The sequence below is a fragment of the Homo sapiens genome, chromosome 2, assembly GCF_000001405.40.
Source record: "Homo sapiens chromosome 2, GRCh38.p14 Primary Assembly".
NCBI classification, from domain to species: domain Eukaryota; kingdom Metazoa; phylum Chordata; class Mammalia; order Primates; family Hominidae; genus Homo; species Homo sapiens.
The window spans coordinates 58,058,109-58,083,626 of record NC_000002.12 but is presented as its reverse complement, the minus strand read 5'-3'; the positions used below and the strand labels follow the sequence as shown (position 1 = coordinate 58,083,626).

Here is a 25,518-nt window from a genome sequence, read left to right as displayed (position 1 = left end):
AGAAAGTTCAAAACAATTTATACTTGACAAAATTCTAGAACAAGCAAGGTTAAAATGAGAATAAAGTCTTTAAAAATTTCTTCTGAACCTGCTAATCAATTACTTTTACATTAAAGAATACATATCTCATAAATTCATTTCAAGTTACCTTACTTCATTTAATTCTTATTTTCCATTTGTTGTTCAGATGGTATAACCCTACTTTTAAAAACTCCAGTGTTCACATTTTAAAACAAATTAATCTTTTCCTCTACATTACCTAAATTATTAAAAGATTGTTTTCAAATCTCAATAAATTTACATGTATATTTATTTGTACTGCAAAAGACTAAAACTTCGTCATTTGTTCATTTGTTCACTCTCCATCCATTCATTCCTTTACTCATTTAAATAGCTAAAATATTTATCAAGAAGCTAGAATATGCCAGGCACTGTGTTAAGTGTCTGGATGATATCTGAAGGAAAGGGAAAGGAAAAAAGGTGGAACTAGTATTGACTACAATTGAAAATCAGTAAGAAACAGACTTGAGAACAGGATCAAATTCTTGAGATACAATATATTTTTATATATTCAATATATTTATTAAAATGCTGTGTCCTATTATTAACATTGTCCTTTTCTTTCTTCTAATTCTGTCAGCTGTTCTCTTTTTTCCATTAATTCACATCTTAGATATAAATATGTCACAAATTTTATTAAAATATATAAATTGTACATTACAGTTGAGCCAATCATACACAATTTTTTAACCATTCTCCAGTTTTTAATTATCAGTAATGCTACTAACCAGTTGAAGAAAGTATTATTTCAGTTCTAGCTAATATTAAATTGTAAACCCAGACCTCTTTACAATAACAAAGAAACTAAACTTACTTATAGCACTTAAAATTATCTTTTCGCCTTCATTCATGTTAAGTTATTTCATTTTTACCCATGCAATAGTCCCAAGGAAACTGCAGGAAGAGTGGATTAGCCAGATCTACTTTCTTCCAAGAAGAAAACTTAAGAAAGTATACACAGGGGACAGAGTCCAGTCTTGGTATAGAAGAAGTGGTGAGAAAACCTTTGTTCCCACCCTATGACAAACTATTTTACTAGTATGGTTTCCAAGGCTAAGGAGAAATATCCTGTTCCAACCTTGGCCCACATAAAACAGTACCTACTTTAGGCACTTGTCTTTGCTACCTGAGGTAGATGTCAGTAGAAAGTTTTGCCTCTTGTCTAAAAGCAAGTGACCACAGCAGCAAATAAATCTTTAAGCCCAACAGAATGTAATGAGCTAAAAAGTACAGAAGAAAATTGGGAGTTTCAAAAAGATAAATAACAGATTATGTTACCACTGGAAAAAAAAGATGTCCAACCAGTCCAAGGCCTGACTCCTTGCCTATTTCAATCATTATATCCCTAATACTTTATAATCTGAATTTTCCTTTCACATTTTGAATGAACATAATCATGTGTTGACACATACCTGAAAATCTCTACGGTCATCACTTGATAGCTACACAATATTCTCTATAAGCTTCCAAGTCAGATTATATTGGAGGGTCTAAGTCTAAAATCAATAGACTAGAAAGCTCTTAGAGACGGGTGCTTCATATGAACAAAGAGATTGTTCTGGTTACCACGGGGGTCTTTTTATAGTAGAATAAATATTCAATTAATAAAACAATTATTTTCTACTGTAAGCCAAGCCCCATTATAGCTAGTGAAATTAAATGACGAAACACACACACACACACACACACACACACACACACACACACACGGACATGGTATATGCTTTTGCTGTCTGGTGGAGAAATCTAAGATGTCTTGGATTATAAGATGCATCATTAAATACATGTTCATCAAATACTCATACACAAATGTAAAACTGCAATCTAGAATACGGTAGACTGAAAACATTGACAAAAACAATACACAATGTAGAAAAAACATAATCAGAGTTAAAATGCTATAATGCCCTTGAGTTATCCAAAAAAGTAGGAAAGTGATTAACCTTACAGTTTGTTAAATAGAATGAATACCTTGAAATTTTAAGGGTAAATGCTAAAATAACAGAGGTTCATAACTCCAAAATCAGTAGAGGAGCAAAGAAGATAACAAAGAACATCTAAACAATTTAATAGATGGCAAGAAAAAAAGGTTTAAAGAAAAAGAAAACACAGTTAGAATAAATAAAAAAATACAAAATATGATAAAATTTAAAATACCAGAATAAATCAATTTTTAGCCATACATTTTTTCATATGTTAACATCTCTGAAATCTGAATGCATCTTAAAAGTGATGACATCTTACAGCTGCTGTTGAACACACACAGTTATGACACAGTTTTTATTGCTTATGCACACACACACTCAATCCTGTCTGTCCATTTGTCTTTACTTAACTGAGTTATGTACATAGCTGATAGTATTACATGTGGAGTTTAACTTAATGATTTGGCACTGAGAAGAAAAATTCTTGTGTATGTAGAAAAGGTAATTAACCAGACCAAAACAGAGCAGCAGGCCATGAATTTGATATCAATGAAAAAAATGTTTATTAAGATATGACTGCAACAATTGAGTATTCTGAGTTCCTTAAGTAAGACAAAGTTTAAGGGTATTCTGTCATAGTTTAATGGGCAGCATTAGGTATTAGATCTAAATCAGGTCCTACAGAAACACAAAAGAAATTACACAAGAGGAAGTAACAATTCTGAATTTTTTAAGCATCTAATATGGGCTGCACATATGTACATAATATCTTAGATTTGATTACATATGTCAGTAATTATAATAAATTTAATAAACTTAAATACACTAAGTTCACCAGCTGAAGAAATAAACTGTCAGACTGCTAAAAATATAAATGTATTTATAAGAGACAAACCTAGAATCTAGTGATGCAGAGGAACAAAGTAAAAATATAGAAAATAAATTAATAAGTACAAACTAACTTTAAAAGACTAGAACAAATATTTTCAAAACCAAATAAATCTCAGGAAAAAAGAATGATTAGATATGAACTTAGTCTAACCTAATCACAAAAGGAATGGTGCAACAGAAAGATAATAATTATGAACTTGAAATCATCTAAAAATGTAATTCAAAATACATGTCAAAAACTAGCAGAATAACAGGAAAAAAAATTAACAACATTGCAACAAAAATAGTGAAAGATTTTAATACAGTCCCATAATGTATAGGCAAGCAGACAATAAATACATTGAAACAATGCAATTAAGTTTTTTCTCTACATGCCAGATTTTTAAAAACACTAATAATTAAAAACATTCTTTTCAAACCCATCTAAAATATTTTTTTAAACTGTCCATATTTTCACCCAGAAAACAAGTCTCAACAAATACCAAGGCATATTATTAAAGCTACGTTCTCTGGGGAAAAAGGAAATCACAATGGAAATCAGAAAATAGATAGGACTGAATACTAAAAATATCATATAAAAACTAGTTAGAATGCAGTTAAAATGTGTTTTTATTACTTGTCTTCCTCTGCTAGAATGTAAACTCCACAAATAAAGAAATATTTTTGCTTTATTCAGATGTGTTCCAAGCACCTAAAATAGAGCCTCAGGCATGTATTAAATATTTGGTGAATAAATTAACAAATAAAAAAGTTACCTGGAGAAAAATTTATAGCACTAAATATTTTGATTTTAAGAAAACTAAAAAATTAGTGAGCTAAGTGCTCCCCTTAATAACTTAGAAAAATGATGACATAAATAGAAATTAATAAGAAACTGAAAAGGCCTACAGGAATAATCTCTCAGTAGAAATGAGGACACCTAGCAACCATATTATGGCTTCTAAATATCATTTTCAATGAAATGAATCAGGGCTCCTTGGAGAAATGGCTGATTCCAGAGTTGAGACAGAGAAAATAAAACTAAGCAAATTAAGCAATAAAATTTATAATATTAAGTTGGTGCAAAAGTAATCACGGTTTTGCCATTGAAAGTAATCATGACTGCTTTTGTGCCATCCTAATACTAATGAACTGTAACCCATAGGAAAAAAAATCCATTGTCTACTGATTTAAGTAAATAAATAAACAAATAAATGAGAGAGTTGATACAGCTCTTTCCTGCAGCTGAAATAAATTAATAAATATAAATTAAGATATGTAGAAGAAATGATAAAAATAGAAAATCATCATTTGGCAAATGTCACAGTAATAATTGGGGCAAGTAATAATTGGGGCAAGTCGTTAATAGATATTAAAACAGATAGGCAAATGGATGATTAAAAGCAACATAATGCAAATACATTCAATGTCTTCCCACAAGACACTTATTAATTGTAAATGGAAAATAATGAATTTATGGCAGGCTAACCTGGCAAATATCACTTTAATTATTAAAAGGGATCAAAGTTAATGTCACTAATAATGATATACAATAAATCATGCACCTACTGATAGTACTGGGAGAAGCAAAATATCATTTCTATGATATTCTTACTAAATAACACATAATCTGAATTTAAAGCAAACCCAAATTGAAGGACATTCTACAAAATACTAGCTGGTACTCTTCAAAAGTGTCAACCTCTTTGCAAATCACCTAAGAGGTAAATATACAGAATATATAAATAACTCCTATAACCCAACATCAACAAAAGTCCAGTTTAAAAATGGGCAAAATCAGCTCAGTGCAGTGGCTCATGCCTGTAATCCAAGCACTTGGGAGGCCGAGGCAGGCAGACTGCCTGAGCCCAGGAGTTTAAGACCAGTTTGGGCAACACAGAGTTACCCTTTCTCTAAAATAATAAAAAATGGGCAAAATACTTGAACAGCTATTTCTCTAAAGATACATACGAGTGGCCAACTTGCATATGAAAACATGCTCAACACCACTAATCATTAGAAAAACGCAAATCAAAACCACAATATCACCCCCTATCCATTAGGATGGCTACTATAAAAACAAACAAAATTTGTTTTAAATTTTGAAAATAACAGATGCTGGCAAGGATGCACAGAAATTGGAACTCTTGTGCACCGTTGATGGGATCATAAAATTACCCCATCACTATAAAAAATGGTATGGCGGCTCCTCAAAAAAATAAATAAAATTACCATATGATCTAGCAATCCCATTTCTGGGTATGTATTGAAAATAATTAAAAGTAAGATCCTGAAGAAATACATGCACACCCATGCTCATAGCAGCATTACAGACAATTAGCCAAAAGTAGAAGCAACCCAAATGGCCATGGACAGATAATTAAACAAAAGGTGGCATATACTTGGAATGGAACATTAATCAACCTTTAAAAAGAAGGAAATCATGTCACATGCTACAACATAAATGAACCTTGAGGACATTAGGCTAAGTAAAATAAGCCACACCACACACAAAAAGACAAATACTATATGATTCTACATTTATGAGGTATCTAGAGTAGTTAAATTCATAGAAACAAAAAAGTAGAATGCTGGTTTCCAGGTGCTGGGAAAAGAGGAAAATGGAGAATTACTGTTTAATGAATATAGAGTTTCAGTACTGCAAAATGGGAACATTCTGGAGATCTGCTGCACAACAATGTGAATATACTTAACACTACTGAACTGTATATACAAACACAGTTTTAAAAATTCTGCAGCCTTACGGGCTACCAAAGACAAGGATTCTGAAAGAGGGCAAGCTAAGAAGCTATCACATTGGCCTGAGAAGAAAAAGAGTTCTGTCCAAGAAATGACAAAACTATGTTGCCAGCTATCTCTTTGCTGGAAGTATAGAGACATCTAGGGAGTTAACAATACTTAGACAAATTTCCATGCATGAAGAAGGAAGAGCAACAGAATTCTACATGGTATTGTTGGCCTTATCCCACTAACAACAGAACTCTACAGTAAATTGTGGCAGTACGCACATTATTTTTCAATAGGAAGAAGAATCACTAGGATAAGTTCAAGAGAACTGCCAGAGAGGGTATGGAAGGATGTGATGAAGTGAGAAGTCTCCCAGAAAATTACTATGCTTTGATTATTATGGAAATATCTTTAGTTTAAGAGTGGTCACTTTTGGGGGCCAGATGACACTTCTAATCCCATTTAAACACCCAAAAATATATTTAAAGAAGGTTAAAAAAAAAATGGAGGAGACGCTTAGAGGTATAGGTTCTTTGCAGCCTAGTCTAACTTTTTCTAAGAGACAGAAGAATAACTCACCTACACAGATTGTGGGTAGGGGGCAGGAATTCTTCAGATAAGACTGGTCAATCAATTAGGATTTAGGAAAAATATCCTGAGACAACAAAGGCCTAGGATCAATTCAACAAATTAAGAATCCGAGGACTTGTGTGGAGGAAATCATGATTCAATGAACTGATAGGGTGTTCTAGGTTCTACACAATGTTTGTCCTTTGTATTTCAAGTTCTGCTTACACTAAGGTATTTAAAGCCTATAAAGAAAATATTTCAATAAATAATTTAGAGGAGAAAAAAAAGAGCGCTAAGCTCATAAAAGACAAAAAAAGATTGAAGAATTTTCCCAAAGGGAGTTACAGAGACAATGATAACTACACATATTGTGTCATCTTGGATTTTGAACCAAAAAAGGACATTAGTAGGAGAACTGGCAAAATTTTAATGAAGTATATAAATAGGTTAATAGTATTGTATCAATGCTAATTTTCTGGTGTTGATAACTATGTAATGTACTATGTGCTATTTTATAATATATCACCATTTAGGGCAGTCGAGTAGAGAATATGGAAACATTCTTTTTTTGCAAGCTCTTTAAAATTTAAAAATTAAAAGTTACAAAATAAAATTTTAAAGTATAAAAACAAACAAAATAGGTGATATTCAAGATTTCTCTTTAAAAAGGTAACAATCCTCTTACAAAATTGTGCGAGTACTGGAAAGAGAGCAAAACCATAGATGTGCATGAGATTTTGAAAAAAACTAATGATAAACACTATCATCTGTAAACTTAAAAACTTAGAAAAAATGACAATTTCCTAGAAAAAAATATAATTTACCAAAATAATTCAAAAAATAAAAAACCTAAATAGAAATATAATCATTAAAGGAAACAAATCAGTATTTCAAAAAAATGTAGACAGTCCTCAACTTACAATGGTCAACAGGGTTTTTCTACTTTACAATGGTGAAAAAGCACTGTGCATTCAGTAGAAATCATACTTCGAATTTTTAAATTTTGAACTTTTCTCAAGCTAGTGATATGAGGTATGATACTCTTACAAGAGATACTCAACACTTTATTAGAAAATAGGCTTTGTGTTAGATGATTTTGCCCAATTGTAGGCTAATAAAAGTGTTCTGAGCACATTTAAGGTAGGCTAGGGTAAACTATGATGTTTAGTAGGCTAGATGTATTAAATGCCTTACTGACTTACAATAATTTCAATTTATGATGGACTTATGAGGACATAACCCCACTGTAAGGAGCATCTGTACAGATAAGATGGAGTAGGAACACTCAACTGTAGCTCTCCCACTGAAAACAGCTATAAAATATAGACCAAAAAAAAAAAAAAAAAAGAAGACAGTAGCTATTAGAAGGCTCTTAAAAAGTAAAGAGAGGTTTCCACTCAACATATTAAGAGCTTGGAGGTCCTTACTCCTGTCTTCTTAAGGGGGAGAAAAAAGAAAAAAACTGAACAATCTGAAAATCAACAGCTTTTCTTTAATCCATCAGAGAACTGAGGTTACAAGGCAAATCAGTGCCCAAAAACTGGAAAGACAAGTGAATACAGAGAATCACATCTTATTGGGGCAGAGTTTTACTATAAGCCCTCCATGTTCTCACAGTGAATATCAGAAAAATCTCCTGTTTCCAGCAGGGGAAGGGAAACTACTTTGCCAGAACCTAATCAACATGGGAGAAGAAAAATAACCACTCCAGCCTCTTCTAGCTTTCCTATCTCACCTAAGTAGGGTACAGGAAGCTGAGAAATACTGGTGAAGGTCACATCCTGGGGCATAGGCCCCCCACCAAAAAAATAGGTTTATACTTATCATTAGGTAAATCCAAATCAAAAACACAAGATACCATCTTGTACCAGTCAGGATGACTATTATTAAAAAGTCAAAAAACAATAGATGTTGGCGAGGTTTCAGAGATAAGGGAACATTTATACACTGCTGGTGGGAATGCAAATCAGTTCAGCCATTGTGGAAAACAGTTGAAAGACTCTCGAAGAACTTAAAATAGAAATACTATTCAACCCAGCAATCCCATTGTTGAGTATATACCCAAAAGAATATAAATTGCTTTACCAAAAAGACCCATGCACATGAATGTTCATTGCAGCACCATTCACAATAGCAAAGATCAACCTAGATGTCCATCAATGGTGAACTATATAAAGAAAGTGTGGTACATATACACTACGGAATACTACACAGCCATAAAAAAGAATCAGATCGTGTCCTTTGCCGCAACATGGATGGAGCTGGAGGCCATTGTCCTAAGCAAATTAACACAGGAATAGAAAACTAGATACTGCATGTCCTCACTTATAAGCAGAAGGAAAACACTGAGTACACATGGACACAAAGAAGGGAACAAAAGACAACGGCGCCTACTTAAGGGTATAGGGTAGGAGAAGGGTGAGCACTGAAAAACTACCTAATATGCTGATTACCTAGGTGACAAAATTATCCGTATACCAAACTCCCATGACGCACAATTTACCCATGTAACAAACCTGCCATGTACCACTTGAACTTAAAATAAAATAGGAAAGAAACTAAATAATAAAAATAAAAAGCAGATTTAGTCGTAAGATTATAAAAGGTCTCATATTCTCCCACACCTTACCAGCACATCAACAGTAGACCCACCTTGCAAGAAATGTTTTTAAAAAGCTCTTGAGAGTGAAGGAAAATAATATACCTGTTATTACTCACATCTGCAAAAGAAATGAACCGTGCCAGAGAGGAAATAAATGAAGGTAAAATAAAAGCTTATTTTTTTATTTTAATTGGCAAAAAGTTTATTCAAAATAACCATGTGTTGAGTTATTATAGCTTATGAATAAGTGAAATGAATTACAGCAAGAGACAGGAGAGAATAATTATAAGGTACCTGCACTAATTGTGAAGTAGTATAGTGTTATTTGAAAGTAAACTTTGACTAGTTGTAAATGTTGCCCTGCAAACTCTAAATCAACCACTAAAAATTTCTAAAGAAGAATTGATACTCCAAGAAAGGAGAGAAAACGGAGTCATACAAAATGCTCAATTAAAAACAGAGAAGGCAAAAAAAACAGATAAAAAACCAAGAAAGAACAAGCATAACAAATAGAAAACAGTTACAAATACAGCAGATAATAATGCAAATATACTAACAATCACTTTAAATGTTAATGATCTAAATACACCAATTAAAAGACAGATAGTGACAGAGTAGATTGAAAAAATAAGACAACTATATGATGTCTATAGGAAACCCACTTTAAATATAAAAACGCAGATAAATTAAAAGTAAAGGGACAAAGAAAGATCTATCATGCTAACACAAATCAAAAGAAAGCTACAGTAGCTATACTAATATCAAACAAAGCAGATGTGATGGTTAATACTGAATGTCACCTTGATTGGATTGAAGGATAGAAAGTATTTATCCGGGACCTGTCTGTGAGGGTGTTGCCAAAGGAGATTAGCATTTGAGTCGTGGGCTGGGAAAGGCAGGTCCACCCTTAATCTGGGTGGGCCCAATCTAATCAGCTGCCAAGGTGGCTAGGATAAAAGCAGGCAGAAGAATGTGAAAAGATTAGACTGTCTTAGCCTCCCAGCCTACATCATTCTCCCATGCTGGATGCTTCCTGCCCTCGAACATCCAACTTCAAGTTCTTCAGCTTTGGGACTCAGACTGGTTTCCTTGCTCCTCAGTTTGCAGATGGCCTATTGTGGGACCTTGTGATCATGTGAGTTTAATACTCCTTTATAAATTCCCTTTTATATAAATATAAATATAAATATAAATATAAATATATATATATATATAATCCTATTAGTTCTGCCCCTCTATAGAAGCCTAATACAGCAGACTTAGAACCAGAAAAACAATCAGGAATAAAGAGGGATATTAAATAATAATAAAGGGGTCAATTCTTCAGGAAGACATAATAATCCTTAGTGTGTATATACTACCAACAGAATGTTAAAATACATGAGGTGAAAACTAAGAGAACTGGAAGGAAAAACAGACAAATCCACTGTTATAGCCGGAGACTTAAACACACTTCCATCAGTAATTGACAGATGCAGCAGGCAAAAAGTTAATAAGAATACGGTTGAACTGACAGCACCACCAATCAATGAATTTAACTGGTATTTACAGAATACCTCATCCAACAACAGCAGAATATACATTCTTATCAAGCTCACATAGTATATTCACTAAGACAGAAAACATTCTGGGCCAAAAAACATACCTCAGCAAATTTAAAAGAATAGAAATCATACAAAGTATGTTCTCAGACCAAAATGGAATTAAATTAGAAATTAATGACTAAAAGTCAAAATACGTGGAATTTAAACAATATATGTCTAAATAACACATGGATCCAAAAACTCAAAGTACATTTTAAAAAGTATTTCAAACTAAACGAAAATGAAAACATAATTTCTAAAAATGTAGGGATGCAGCAGAAGTAGTGCTTAAAGGGAAATTTATAGCATTGAATACATATATCTGATTAGGAGAAAGATCTAAAATAAATTATCTAAACTTACATAGTAGAAAATCTAGATGGGTGGGCCTAGATGGGCTAATGGGTGAATTCTACAAACATTTAAAGAAGAAATAATACCAATTCTCTACAATCTCTCCTAGAAAACAGAAGCAAAGGAACATTCAACTAATTCTATAAAACCAGCATCACCCTAATAACAAAACCAGATAAAAACATTAAAAGAAAAAAAACTACAAATCAATATCTCTCATAAAGATGGATAAAAAAATCCTCAACAAAACATTAGCAAATCAAATCCATCAATGCATAAAAAGATTTAAACACCACAACTTAATGGGATTTATTCCAGGTATACAAGGCTGGTTCAGCATTCAAAAATCAATTAACATAATCCAACACATTAATAAGCTACAAAAGAAACATCATATGATCACATTAAAAAACAAAACCATTTGGCAAAATCTAATTCATCATAAAAATTCACAGTAATACTAGAAATAGATAGAAACTTTCTCAACTCGATAAAAAAAATCTACAAATAAAACCATAGCTAAAATTAAACTTACTGCTGAGAAACTAGATGCTTTCATCTTAAGACTGGGAACAAAGCAAGGATGTCTCCTCTCACTTCTATTCAATATCATACTGAAAGTCCTAGCTAATACAATAAAACAAGAAAAGGAAGTAAAAGGTAAACAGATTGCAAAGGAAGAAATAAAACCATCTTTGTTCACATATGACATGATCTTATACATTGAAAATCCAGAAGAATCAAAGAAAAAACTCCTGGACTTAATACATCAGTATGGCAAAGTTGCAGAATACAAATTTAATACACAAAAGTCAGTTTTTTTCTTAAATAACATCAATGAGCAACTGGAATCTGAAATTAAACACAATACCATTTAAATTAGCACCAAAAAAGAAATATTAACACTTAGTTATAAATATAACAAAATACATACAAATGAGGAAAACTACAAACATCTGATGAAAGAAAATCTTCATCATGATATGGAGAGATACATCATGTTCATAAATAGGAAGACTCACTCATATTCTTAAGATGTCAGTCTCCTCAACTTGATATATAAAGTCAAAGCAATACTAATAAAAACACAAGTTATGTTGTGGATATCAACAAATTGATTCTAAAGTTTGTACATAAAGGCAAAAGATCCAGAACAGCAAACACAATACTGAAGAACAAAGTCAGAGGACTTGCACTATTCAAGTTCAAAGCTTTCTATAAACAATAATTAAGAAAATGTGGTACTGCAAAAAAAATAGACAAATAGATCAATGTAATAGATAGCCTAGAAATAGACCCGATATAGTCAAATATAAATAGGCAGTCAATCTTTACAAAAAAGCAAAGGCAATTCAATAGACGAAGTGTAGTCTTTTCAGTAAATGGTACTAGGACTGGACACTCACATGCAAAAATGTGAATCTAGACACTGATCTTTCATAAAAATTAACTCAAAATGGATCATAAACCTAAATGTACAATGCAAAAACGATAAACTTCTGGAAGATAACACAGATGAAAATCTGGGTGACCTAAGGGTAATGAGTTTTTACAGATATAATACCAAAAGCATAATCCATGCAAGAAAAGAACTGTTAAATTGGACTTCATTAACATTAAAAATTTTCTGCTCTGTCAAAGACACTGTTAAGAAAATAATAAGATAAATCACAGTCTGGGAGGAGATATTTGCAAAACATCTGACAAGACATATCAAAAATATACAAAATATTCTTAAAACTCAACAATAAAAAATGAACAACTCATTTTAAAATGAGCAAAATATTTAACAGAAACTTCTAAAAAAAGATGTAAAGGTGTAAAATAAACATACGAAAAGATGCTTAACATCATATATAACCAGGAAATTGCAAATTAAAACAATGAGATACAACTACACATCTATTAGAATGGCTAAAATCCAAAAACACAGACAATGCTAAATGCTGGCAAGGATGCAGCACAACAGGAATTCTCATTCATTGCTGGTGGGAATATAAAATAGTACAGCCACTTTGAAAGACAGTTTAGCAGTTTCTTACAAAGCTAAACACAGTCTTAGTATACAATCCAGGAACTGCACTCCTGGGTATTTACCCAAATGAGTTGAAAGCTATGTTCACACAAAAATCCGCACATAAAACATTTATATCCGCTTTACTCACAACTGACAAAAACTGGAATCCACCCCCAGACATACTTCAACAGGTGAATGGATAAACAAACTGTGATATTATTATTTAGCCATAAAAAGAAATGTGCTATCAAGCCACAAAAAGATATGGAGGAATCTTAAAAACATATAGTTTTGTGAAAGAAGCTAGTCTGAAAAGGTTACATAGTGTAGGATTCTAACTATATGCCATTCTGAAAATGGCAAAACTACAGAAACAGTAAAAAGAGAAAGAGAAGTGGTTGCCTGAGGTTTAGGGGCAGGGAGGAAGACGAATAAACAGGTGTAGCACAAGGCAATTTCAAGGCAGTGAAATTAGTCTGTATGAGACTGTAATGGTGGACACATGATATTATGCATATACCAAAACCCATAAAACTATATAACATAAAACCTGGGCACAGTGGTGCACGTCTGTAACCCCAACTACTTGAGAGGTTGATGTGGGAGGATCACTTGAGCCTAGGAGTTCAAGACCAGCATGGGTAACACACCAAGACTCCATCTCAAGAAAAAACAAATAACAACAAAAAAATTATACAACACAACTAATGAGATCTAGTTTAAATTATGGACTTTAGTGAATAATAATGTATCAATATTGTTTAATAAATTATAACATATTTACCACACTAATTCAAGTTGTTAGTAATAAAGAAAACTATAACAACAGTGGGAGAAAGAGGTAGTATATGAGAATTCTGTACTATCTGCTCAGTTTTCCACAAACCTGAAATTGCTCTAAGAGTCTCCTGATTAAAAATAATACAATAGCAGGTAGATTATGAGAAAAGGTCACAATTCACAGTAGTATCATACTTGAATCAGATATTCCATTTCTTCCCCTCTGGTATCCTTCGGTCAGAACTCAAGGAAGCCCAAACCTTGAAAGTTGACACTGGGGCAAACAAAAAATGCCCCAGTAGAAGCTCTCTAGTTAAGAAGAGTAGGAAATGAATATCCTAAGTCGGAGAGTGCAGAAAATGTCATTATTCTTTTTTCCTATTTTTCACCTTTCGGTTCTTTCCCATCCCAGCACCCAAACAATTCTGTGGTGATGACAGTGGCGGCAGCAGCAGGGACACACAGAGATCTGAAACTCTCAAGGAAGGAAACTTTCCTCTCCAATCAAATGAGTTGTGGTCCCAAAAGAGAGTGGTATCTAATAACTTTTTATACTCTACACCCTCTTGCCATTTTCCGCAGACACAGGTGCATGGCAAGGCACGGTAAATAAAAGCCCAGATTTCTGGTCAGAGAACCTAAAAAGGAGATCCCAGAGAATAAGTACCAAGGAGACCATGGAGGGAGAGAGCTTGGGAACGTCACCACAACAAGTTGTTTATAAACTCCTGGACTCACTCACAAGCTGTGTATACGTGGAGCTAACATTAAACAGCATATACAGACTTCGATAAGTAAACTACCAATACCCAAGTCCCAGGCTGGTCACTGAATGGAACACACATGACCTGAACAATACTTTTGCTATTGAAAACTAAACGAACACTGTACCCCAAACACAGACCTGTTAAAACTTGAAGCCTGAATGCAACCAGGAAGACTATCTGCTAAAACAAAATATCAGTATTCTCTGTTAGAAATAAGAGACCCAAATTCTTACAACATAATATTCAACATATCCATGAAATAATTCAGAGTTACTAGGCATACAAAGAAGCAGAAAAAAACTCATATATGAAAAGACAATGAATAGATAATAATGACAAAATGACAGGGATGTTGAAATTATCTGACAGACTTTAAAGCAACCATTATAAAAATGTTTCAATAAATAAAGACAAACACTTTTGAAACAAAGGGAAAAACAGAAAAATGCAACAAAGACAGAAAATACAAAAAAGAATCAAATGATGTTTTTGAAACTAAAAGATACATAACCGAGTTTTTGTTTTTTTTTTTTTTTTTTCCTGAGGGGGTGCAATACAATTAGGGAGATGACATAAGAAAAAGTCACTGAACTTGATGATAGATCAAAGGAAAATGATCCAACCTAAACAACAGAGAGATAAACTATGAAAAAATTGAACACCACCTTAGAAACTTATAGGCAGTAACAAAACATTGAACATGTAGAATCCCAGAAGAGAAGGAAGCTTGTGATACTGAAAAAACATTTGATGAAATAAGGACTGAAATGTTCCAAGTTTTATATACACATAAGCCTACAGACTCAATAATGTCAAAGAACCCCCAATAGGATAAACCCAAAGAAATCAATGCCCAGACACATTATAGTCAAATCTGAAATCTAAAAACAAAGAAAAATCTTGAAAGCAGCCAGAGTGAACAATGCATTATGTATAGGGGAACAATGGCTCAAATGACTGCAAATTTATCATCAGAAATGATGAAGATGGGAAAAAAATTATCAATCCAACATCCAGCAAAAATACCTTTTGGAAAAGAAACTAAATGAAGACATTCTCAGGTGAAGAAAACTAAAGAGAATTAATGGTCAGCAGACTTGCTGTGTTAAGAATTTCTAAAGAAAGATATTGAAGTACAAAAGCCTGTAATCCCAGCACTTTGGGAGGCCAAGGTGGACAGATCACTTGAGGTTAGGAGTTTGAGACCAGCCTGGGCAACATGGTGAAACCTCATCTCTACTAAAAATAGAAAAATTAGCTGGGCGTCGTAGCATACACCTGTAGTGCCAGCTACTTGAGAGGCTGAGGCAGGGGAATTGCTTGAACCCAGGAGGTGCAGGCTGCAGTGAGCCAAGATTGTGCCACTGCACTCCAGGCTGGGTGACAAAGCGATACTCTGTTTCAAAAAAAAACAAAACAAAAACAAAAAAGAAAGAAAAGAAAAGAAAAGAAAAGAAAAAAAGATATTGAGGAAAAAGAAAAGTTACACAAGGAAATTTGGAATATTAGGAATAAAGGAAGAGAAAACATGATCAATAACTGGGAAAATGTAATAGATTGTGTGTCTCTTCTTCAGTTCTTCAAAATATATTTAACAGACGGAGCAAAACATGTAACATGAACTGAAGGGATTTTCAATGAATGGAGATATAATACACAAGACAACCACAATATTTAAAAATCTGTGAGATATAGCCTAAGCAGGACTTAATGGAAAAAAATTATAAAGAAAATAACCAGAAGTCAATGAAATGGAATAGAGTAAATGAAACCAAGAGCTATTTCTCTGAAATGATCAATAAAATCTATAAACTTGTATCAAGACAAAAAAGAAAACATGATTTGAAAGAGCAACATCAAAAATGAGAGACTATCACTATAAAACCTAATTACATTTAAATATAATAAATATTAACAATTCTATACCCATAAATTTGACAACTGTATTAGTCAGGGTTCTCTAGAGGGACAGAATTAATAGATGTATATAGATGTATATATGAAGGGGAGTTTATTAAGGAGTGTATTAAGGATTCACATGATCACAAGGTGAAGTCTCACAACAGGCCGTCTGCAAGCTTAGAAGCAACAAAGCCAGTCTGAGTCCCAAAACCTCAAATGCAGGGAAGCCAACAGTGCAGCCTTCAATCTGTGGCTGAAGGCCCGAGAGCCCCTGAAAAACCACTGGTGTGAGTCCAGGAGTCCAAAAGCTGAAGAACCTGCAGTCTTTATGTCAGTCAATCTTCAAGAGCAGGAAGCATCCAGCAGGAGAGAAAGATGAGGGTTGGAACACTCAGCAAGTCTGCTCTTTCCACCTTCTTCTGCATGCTTTGTTCTAGTCTCACTGGAAGCTGATTAGATGCTGCCCACTCAGGTTGAGGGTGGGTCTACCTCTCCCAATCCACTGACTCAAATGTTAATCTGCTTTGGCAACACCCTCACAGACATATCCAGGGATAATACTTCACATCCTTCAATCCAATCAAGTTGACAATATTAACCATCACAACTGATGACAAATGGAGCAATTCCTTAAAAACCATGAACTACTAAGTTACCTAAAACAAATAACCAGATTAGTCCTAAATAACCACTAAAGAAAGTGAAACCATTTTTTTTAAAAGAATGCCTTTCTGAAAAAGATATTTCTAAACCCAGTTAGCTTCACTGTATAACTATACAAAACATTTTAAAAATGAGTAACACTTAATTCTACACACTCACTTCCAGAAAACAAAAGAAAGAATACTTCAGAACTCATTTTATGAGGCCAGGATTACCCTGATACAAAATTAGACAAAGATGGTAGGGGAAATAAATAAATAAATAAAAGTATACACTAATAGTCCTCCTTAACAAAGATGGAAAGATTCTCAAAATATAAGCAAATGGAATCCAGAAATACATAAAAATAATACACCATAATCAAATTAATTTGAGGAATGCAAGAATGTTTCAATATTCAAAAATCAATGTCATCTACCATATTAATAATCTAAAGAAGAACCACCTGATCATATCAATTGAAGTAGAAAAGGCAATTGACAAAATTCAACACCCTTTTATGATCAAAACTCAGTATGCTTAACTTGATAAAGAGCAGGTATGAAAACCTACAGTTAACATCACACTGAATAGTGAGAAGCTGAATACATTCTCCCTAAAAATGAGAACAAGTCAAAAATGAGCACTCTCGCTATTTCTATTCAATAAATCACTGTAAGTCCTAGCCAGCGCAGGAAGTTAAGAATATAAATGAAAAGCACACATTTGGAAAGGAAGGTGTCCCTATCTCCAGATGATGTGATTGTGTACGTGGAAATTCCCAAAGAATCTGCCACAAAAGAAAACCCAATCCTAGAATAACTGGGTTTACCAAATTCATAGCATGTAAGGTCAACACACAACACACAACACACAACATACTACTAATATACTACTAATGTACAAATGGAAACTAAAATTTAAAAACCAAGAACATTTTCAATAGCTCCAAAAAATGTATATATCAATATATACCCAACAATACATGTATAGGACTAGTATGCTAATAACTACAAAAAGCTGATATAAGAAATCAGGGAAGACCTAAAGAAATGAGGACACATGCTGTACTTATGGTTTGGATGACTTTACATAGTAGAAATGTTAATTTTCCCCAAATTTATCAATAGATTTAGCTCAATATCAATTAAAATCCCAGCAATTTTTGTTGTCGTTGTTCTGGAAATATAAATTAATTATGTATATGGAAAAGCAAAGGAATTAAAATAGCTAAAACAATTTTGAAGAAAAAGTTGAAGGAATCACACTACCCAAATGTCCTTCAATGGTAGAATACACAAACTGTGATACATTCATACAACAGACTACTACTTGACAATAAAAAACTGCTGACACACACAACAACTTGGGTCAATCTCAAAGGCATTACACTAAGTGGAAAAAAAATCACAAATGACACATATTACATGATTCCATTTATAGTAATCCCATACATTCCCCAAAAGCCACATCTATAGTGATGCAGAATAGATCAATGGCTGCCAGAGATTAGGGGTAAAAGGAGGTTATGGTCACAAAGGGATAGTATGAGGAAGATTTTAGGGTGATGAATCTGTCCTGTATCCTAATTATGTTGGTGGGTGTGTTAAAATTCACAGAAATGTACAAAGATTTTTTTCTCTTTATTTTTATAAATAAGAAAAAAGATACAAGTACATAATCATAATACAAAATAGAATATGCTTAGTTATAAAATAGAAGCAAAAATATTGCAGAAAATAAATACACAATGTAAAACTGTGGTAGAAAATGCACAAAGAAAAGCAGTAGGCTTCAAGGGAAGGTGGACTTGAAATGAGCACAAACTGAATATGCAGAAATGAGAAAGAAGGTAAGTGATAAAGAGAAAAACAGAACAAGCAAAGTGATACTGGTATTTGTTTCCTGGATTAGATTCCAAAACTATGACATGTTAAAAATGTTTATGTTTTCTTAATCACACATATTTTTAAAATAAATTCTTGTATACTTGAAAAAAAAGTGTATTATCTGTAACACTGTTAAAAACCCTCCAAATTAAAACTTTTCCTATTACATATTTCACTTTATAACTTATTATTATAGCACAATCAGTTATCTTCAAACTCTTTTAGTAATGGAATGTTTCTTGGAATCCTGATATTTTGGAGATACTGCAGGTTCGGTTCCACAACAATGCAATAAAATGAATATTGCCATGAAGCAAGTAGTGTGAATTTTTTGGTTGCCCAGTACATATAAAAGTTATATTTACACTATACTGTAGTTTATTAAGGGTACAACAGCAGTATCTTTTAAAAAACAACGTACATGCCTTAATTTAAAAATATTTTATTGCTAAAAAAATTTTAGCAATCATCTGAACTTTTAGCAAGTTATCTTTTTGCTTGTGGAGGGTCTTGATGTGGATAGCTGCTGACTGATCAGGGTAGTGGGTGCTGAAGACTGCGGTGACTGTGGCAATTTCTAAAGATAGCAATGAAGTTTGCCACATCAATTGACTCTCGCTCTCACAAAAGATTTCTCTGTAGCCCACAATGTTGTTTGTTAGCATTTTATCTACAACAGACCTTTCAAAATTGAAGACAATCCTCTCAAACCATGCTACTGCTTTATCAGCTAAATTTATGTAATACTCTAAAACTCTGCTGTCATTTCAACAATGTTTATGGCATCTTTACCAGGATAGATTCTATCTCAGGAAACCACTCTCTTTGTTCATTCTTAAGAAGCAACTCCTCATGAATTAAATGTTATCATGAGATTGAGCAGTTCAGTCACATCTTCAGTTTTCAGCTCTAACTCCAGTTCTCTTGCAATTTCTGTCACATCTATAGTTGCTTCTTCACTGAAGGCTTGAACCCCGCAAAGTCACCCACAAGGGTTGGAAACAACTTCTTCCAAACTCTTGTTAACACTGCTATTTTTATCTCCTTCCCTGAATCATGAATGCTGTTAATGGCATCTGGATGGTGAATCATTTCCAGAAGACTTTCCATTCATTTTGCCCAGATCCATCTGAGGAATCATTATCTATGGCAGCTGAAGCCTTACGAAATGTATTTCTTAAATAGTAAGAACTTGAAAGTTAAAGTCACTCCTTTGATCCATGAGCTACAGAAGGGACACTATGTTAGCAGGCATGAAAACAACATTAATCTCCTTGTACATCTCCATCAGAGCTCTTGGGTAACTAAAGTGCATTGTCAACAAGCAGTAATGTTTTGAAAGCAATTTTTTTGTTTCTGAGAAGTAGGTTTCAACAGCAGGCTTAAAATATTCAGTAAACTCTATTATTCATGCAAATGTATGGGGTACATGAGAAAATCTGTTACATGCATACAACCATAGTGACCAAGTCAGGGTATTCAGGGTGCCCATTACCCAAGTACAATACATTTTTGTTAAGTATAGACATCCTACACTGCTATCAAACACTGAATTCATTCCTTTTAGCTCGCTGTATGTTTGTACCCTTTAACCCACTTCTTCTTCATCTACCCTCTTCTCCCAAAATAGGTGAGGGACAGTTGTTCTCACTCATATGTTAAAAAAAAAAAAAAAACAAAACTGTGACATATGCCTTAAATATACACAATTTTTAAAATAAGAAAAATAAAACTAAAAAAAAAAATCAGTAAACCATGCTGTAAAAAGATGGGCTGTCATCCAGGCTTTGTTGTTCCATTTACAGGGTACAAGCAGAATAGATAGTAAACATAATTCTTAAGGGCCTTAGGATTTTCTGAATGGTAAGCACTGGCTTCGACTTAAAGTCATCATCTGCACTAGCCCATAAGAAGAGAGGCATCCTGTCCTTAGAAGCTTTGAACCCAGGCATTGACTTCTCTCTAGCAATGAATGTCCTACACAGTATCTTCTTCCAATAGAAGGCTGTTTCATTTACACTGAAAATTTGTTATTTAGTGTAACCACCTTCATCATTGATCTCAGCTAGAACTTCTGGATAACTTGCTGCAGCTTCTACATCAGCACTTGCCACTTCACCTTCCATTTTTATGTTTTGGAGATGACTTCTTTCCTTAAAACCTCATGAACCAACCTTTGCTAGCTTCAAACGTTTCTTCTGCAGCTTCCTCACCTCTCTCAGCTTTCCCAGAATGGAAGAGAGTTAGGAGCTTGCTCTGGATTAGGCTTTGGCTTAAGGGAATGTTGTGGCTGGTTTGATCTTCTATCCAGACCACTGAAACTTTCTCCTTATCAGCAGTAAGGCTGCTTCACTTTAGCACTTTTAATTTCTTTTAAGAACTTTTCCTTTGCATTCACAATTGGGCTAACTGGTGTTTAAGAGGCCTAGCCTTTAACCTATCTGAGCTTTCGACATGCCTTCCTCACTAAGCTTAATTATTTCTAGCTTTTGATTTAAAGTGAGAGATGCATAACTCTTTCTTTCACTTGAATACTTAAAGGCCACGTTAGGGTTATTAATTGGCCTAATTTCAAAATTGCTGTATCACAGAGAATAGAGAGGTCTGAGGAAAGGGAGAATGATGGGAGCATGGCTGGTGAGTGGTGCAGTCAGGCCATGTGCTACATTTACCAATTAAATTCACCGTCTTGTATGGGTGCAGTTCATGATTCCTCAAAGCAATTATGATAGTCACAAGAAAGATCACTGATCACAGATCACCGTAACAGATATAATAACAAAAAAGTTTGAAATATTGTCAAAATGACCAAAATGTGACATAGAGACATGCATGAAGCCCACGCTGCTGGAAAAATAGCACTAATAGATTTGGTTGATGCAGGGTTGCCACAACCTTCAGTGTGTAAAAAAACACAGTATCTGCAAAGCACAATAAAGTGATGTGCAATAAGACAAGGTAAGCCTGAATATGCAACAGATAAAGCAGAAATGCTAAGGTTGAAACATGGGACAGGAGACCAGAACCCTTACCCCTTTCACCTCTACACCTGGGTTCCATACAGACCAGTGTGAAGACTTAGTGGTAACTGGTTTGTCATTTTCTGAATTTATTTATAATATCTCCAGTCATATTTACAATTTCTTATTGAAGGTCTGCTTTCTCTTCAAGGATAAAAATAAACAATAGCATTCTCATTATATTATATTCTATCATTACATTTTCACTTTGTTCTACTAACCTTTTACCCTATATACATCCTTGTTTAGCTCTCTTAATGATTTTTACTGTGGAATATAAAATAACAACAGATCCTGCTATTGCTTTACTGTTTACTTACATGTGCATGAAAAACCTTAACCTTTTAGTGTCTTTATATCTTATCATTTTAAGTATTGCTTTTTTGGCAACCGATTATGAAGTTCTGTCACTGATCTTCTTTAATTGAGGCTTACAGACTTTTTTTCCAATGTAGTTAACTGACAATTTTATTATAATACACTAATGTATATAATTGTTATTTTTCTTTGCTGTCTTTGGCCAGTTACTTACTGGTTGTGGTATATATTACATACTTATTTCATTTTACCACAAATTATATCTTCCAACCCATTTATCTATTTCTCAAACATTAACACTAATAAACTCTAACTTAGCTGTTTTTATTATTATTAACTAAATACATTTTGAGCTTCCCTAAAGGGTTGATATGTAACTTAACTGTTAACCCTATAATTCTGAACCACAGTTCATCAATTTAATTTAGAAATTTGAATTTTGTTATGAAACTCTACATTCATAACTTACAGTTCTTAAAAAAAATCCCCCAAGTTTTACTAAACTGGTTTTGCTTTATATCATCAAATCTTTTCTTAATATTTTAACTCATTTATCTCTTGTAAGTCATTTTCAATCATACACTCCTTTCAAGCCTATTTTAGCGATAATCTATTAAGAAATGATTTCAGGTTTACTAAGACCTCAAATGTTTCCTTCTACCTCCTAAGAGACATTCAATTTGGCCATACAATAGAATGAGAGCTATTATTTTTCTTAGCCATCATAAATCCTATTTTCAAAGTGTATGAAGTGAGAGCTGAAGTAGTTGACCTCCCTTCCTTAAATAATACTGTAAATTCTGTAATTTAGGTTTAAAAACCTAGTATGTAAGAATCTTTAGCCCTGCTCTTTTGAAGCACTTTCTAATCTTTATGCTGAAATTAGGCTGTAAATAAGGGAAATCTTTCTCACGTTTTTCATTATGGTCTTTATTTTGCATGTCTTTACATTTTCATGTGATATTCTTAACTATCCAAAGATATACTACATAAACAGATAATAGAACCATTATTTTTTCTTCTTGATGGTCTCTTTATCTCATTTTTCTGTGACTGAGATCTGCTTCTTTACCAGCTGCATCCATTATTGCCTTAAGGCCTCTATCCATGTGCCAATATCAACAGATCATTTATAAATTTAACTCCCTCTTTCAGGATTTAACAGGTTTTCACAGTCAGAAGGAACTTAAAAGTGCTCCCCTCCCCAAAAAAATACTTATTTTTTACAGCAGTTCTTTATTATAGTCAATCTACATTAAACTAGTTAATTTCAGAAGATTTATCTTGCTCAAAAGCTTTCTGCTAGAGTAGACATTCTGATTATTCTGGAAGACTAGGCAATTTTTTCTTCCTCTTTTCATCACACAGCAACATTTACCTGTTAGCTATACAGGTTTGTTTTGTTTTCTTCTCACTTTTCTTGAAGTGTCTTGTGTGGGATTTTTTTGTTGTTGTTGTTGGTTTTACTACTTTTTCTTCTACTATCCTCCTTACACTGTGTAAGATAAAAGGTTTACATAACTAATTCTCCATTCTCAATTATAATACATTTGACATTGGAGATGTAAGATAGAACTGTAATACATGATTTTTTAATAGAAACAAGATCAAGTATAATGAATAGCTTTTCTTTACATTCTCCAGAATTTGACATTAATAATCCCATATCCCTGTAACTGCTCAAGAACATGTATTTAATGTAGTAACTTGTGTTTGTTCATTCTTTTCCTTGCTAAATATATATACACCAAATAAAAAAGTATTCTAGTATAAAATCTTGCATTGTAATAGCTAATAACTATCTGTTGTCTATTATAAACACCCAAAGGTTTACCACTACATGAAATGTTCTAACTTTTTCATGAAATCACCCTTGAGTATATAATAATCATTACTACTGTATAATATCTTGAAATAACTAATTTTAGTTATTTAAAAATAATTTTCCAAAACCTAGACTTTTATTATAACTAAAATATAGTGGTATCTGAAACAAATTCCATAAAGGGATATGTTAACACGATCCTATTTATCTTAAGTATTTTCTGTTTGTTTTACTCTTTAAAAGGCCTACTTTTCTAAGCAGTGTATCTTTAAATTATTATCCAATGAAAAAATATAGTCAAGAATCATTCAATATTTATAAAGGTATCTATTTTTATATGGTGCTTATTAAAATCATATCACAGAGATTTAAACAGGTCTATTTAGATCTTCCTGTTGCTTATTTGACTCAAAACAAATGTATAAAATGTATAAAACTAGACAAATGTATTCAGTTTTGCAAAGGCATGAAAATCCAACAAATCTTTCTCATCAGATTGCATGAACTATTGGATGACTATTCGCAATTTTTTCCATAAAAATATTGTTTGAGGTATGGTACATTTTTAATGTAATTGTTCCAGTGCCTAACATTAGGTTTACTATAAATATCAGATGTTCTTTCACAGATTTTGAGATCTTAATAATATCAAAAACATATCACTGATGCTCTATGCCTTGTCAATCTGAATGAAAATGACACCATTATTAGCATCATCACTAACAGATTTCTTAAATTAGCTGCCAATACTATCAGTTACATATTTTGCTGTTACTTTAGAAATGAGCTTGTTATAAGCATGCCACTTGTCACTATTTTATCTGGCTAACAATAAATTCAAGTGTTCTTGGACAAGGGACATCAGTAGGGCAGGGACCAGAGTCCAAATATAGAAGAGACATTTTTTAAATTGTGGCCAGGAGGTAATTTACGTATCCTCTTTAGGCCTCAATGTCTTCCTTAGTTAAGCTGCTGAGAGGATTCAATGAAATAATTCATGCAATGCACTTAACACAGAGCTTGGCACACACTAAGTGAAGGATTTTAGTACTTTATAATAAATATGATAATTTCCTAAAAAAAAAGAATTCAAAAACTAGTCCCAGCATTTATCAGATACTACAGACACATCTGACACATCTACTACTCTTTACCAGACTCTTCTTTCATTCTTTTTTACTTTTCTGTGTTCTATGTTCATGGCCTCATCAGTGAGACTTTGGTAACATTATGTCTAAGAGGTTCATTAGGTGGCACTCAGAATACCTGAAATGGAAGCTATGTTCTCTATGCGCCTCTTTCACACATGTCGAAGCTTCCGATTGCTCTTGCTTGAAATAAATTTGCGGGAAGCTGCCTTTACTCCACACTAAGCATTGGAGAGAGAAAAATGGCCAGTGTCTCTGGGGAATAATTAACAAAAGACAGTTTGTTTCATCTTCATGATAAAATACAGCATCCCTATTAAAAGGCAAATTCATCATTCCCAAAAGTTAAATAGAATGACACTTTTAAAGTAATTCCAGCTGATTAAATTTAGGGTTTTGAAAAAAAATTAATTCATGAATATACTCTGAATCTTTCATTTGATTTTAAAATGTATAAATGTTCATTTAACTTTGAGCCCTTGCCTCTCAGTGTTCTAT

General features: G+C 33.1%; 1 protein-coding gene across 15 annotated transcripts in view; it reads right to left on the bottom strand.

Moving 5' to 3' along the window:
* VRK2 (VRK serine/threonine kinase 2) overlaps positions 1 to 25,518 on the bottom strand; it is a 252,329-nt gene that overhangs the window by 76,294 nt on the left and 150,517 nt on the right. For 2 of the 15 annotated variants that reach the window (NM_001288836.1, XM_047445747.1), the window contains one exon: positions 25,139 to 25,275. The exons of the other annotated variants lie outside the window; for them this stretch is intronic. The gene's annotated coding sequence lies outside the window, so the exon portion shown is untranslated. Of the gene's footprint in view, positions 1 to 25,138; positions 25,276 to 25,518 lie in introns of those variants that run through there. 15 annotated transcript variants of the gene reach the window in all.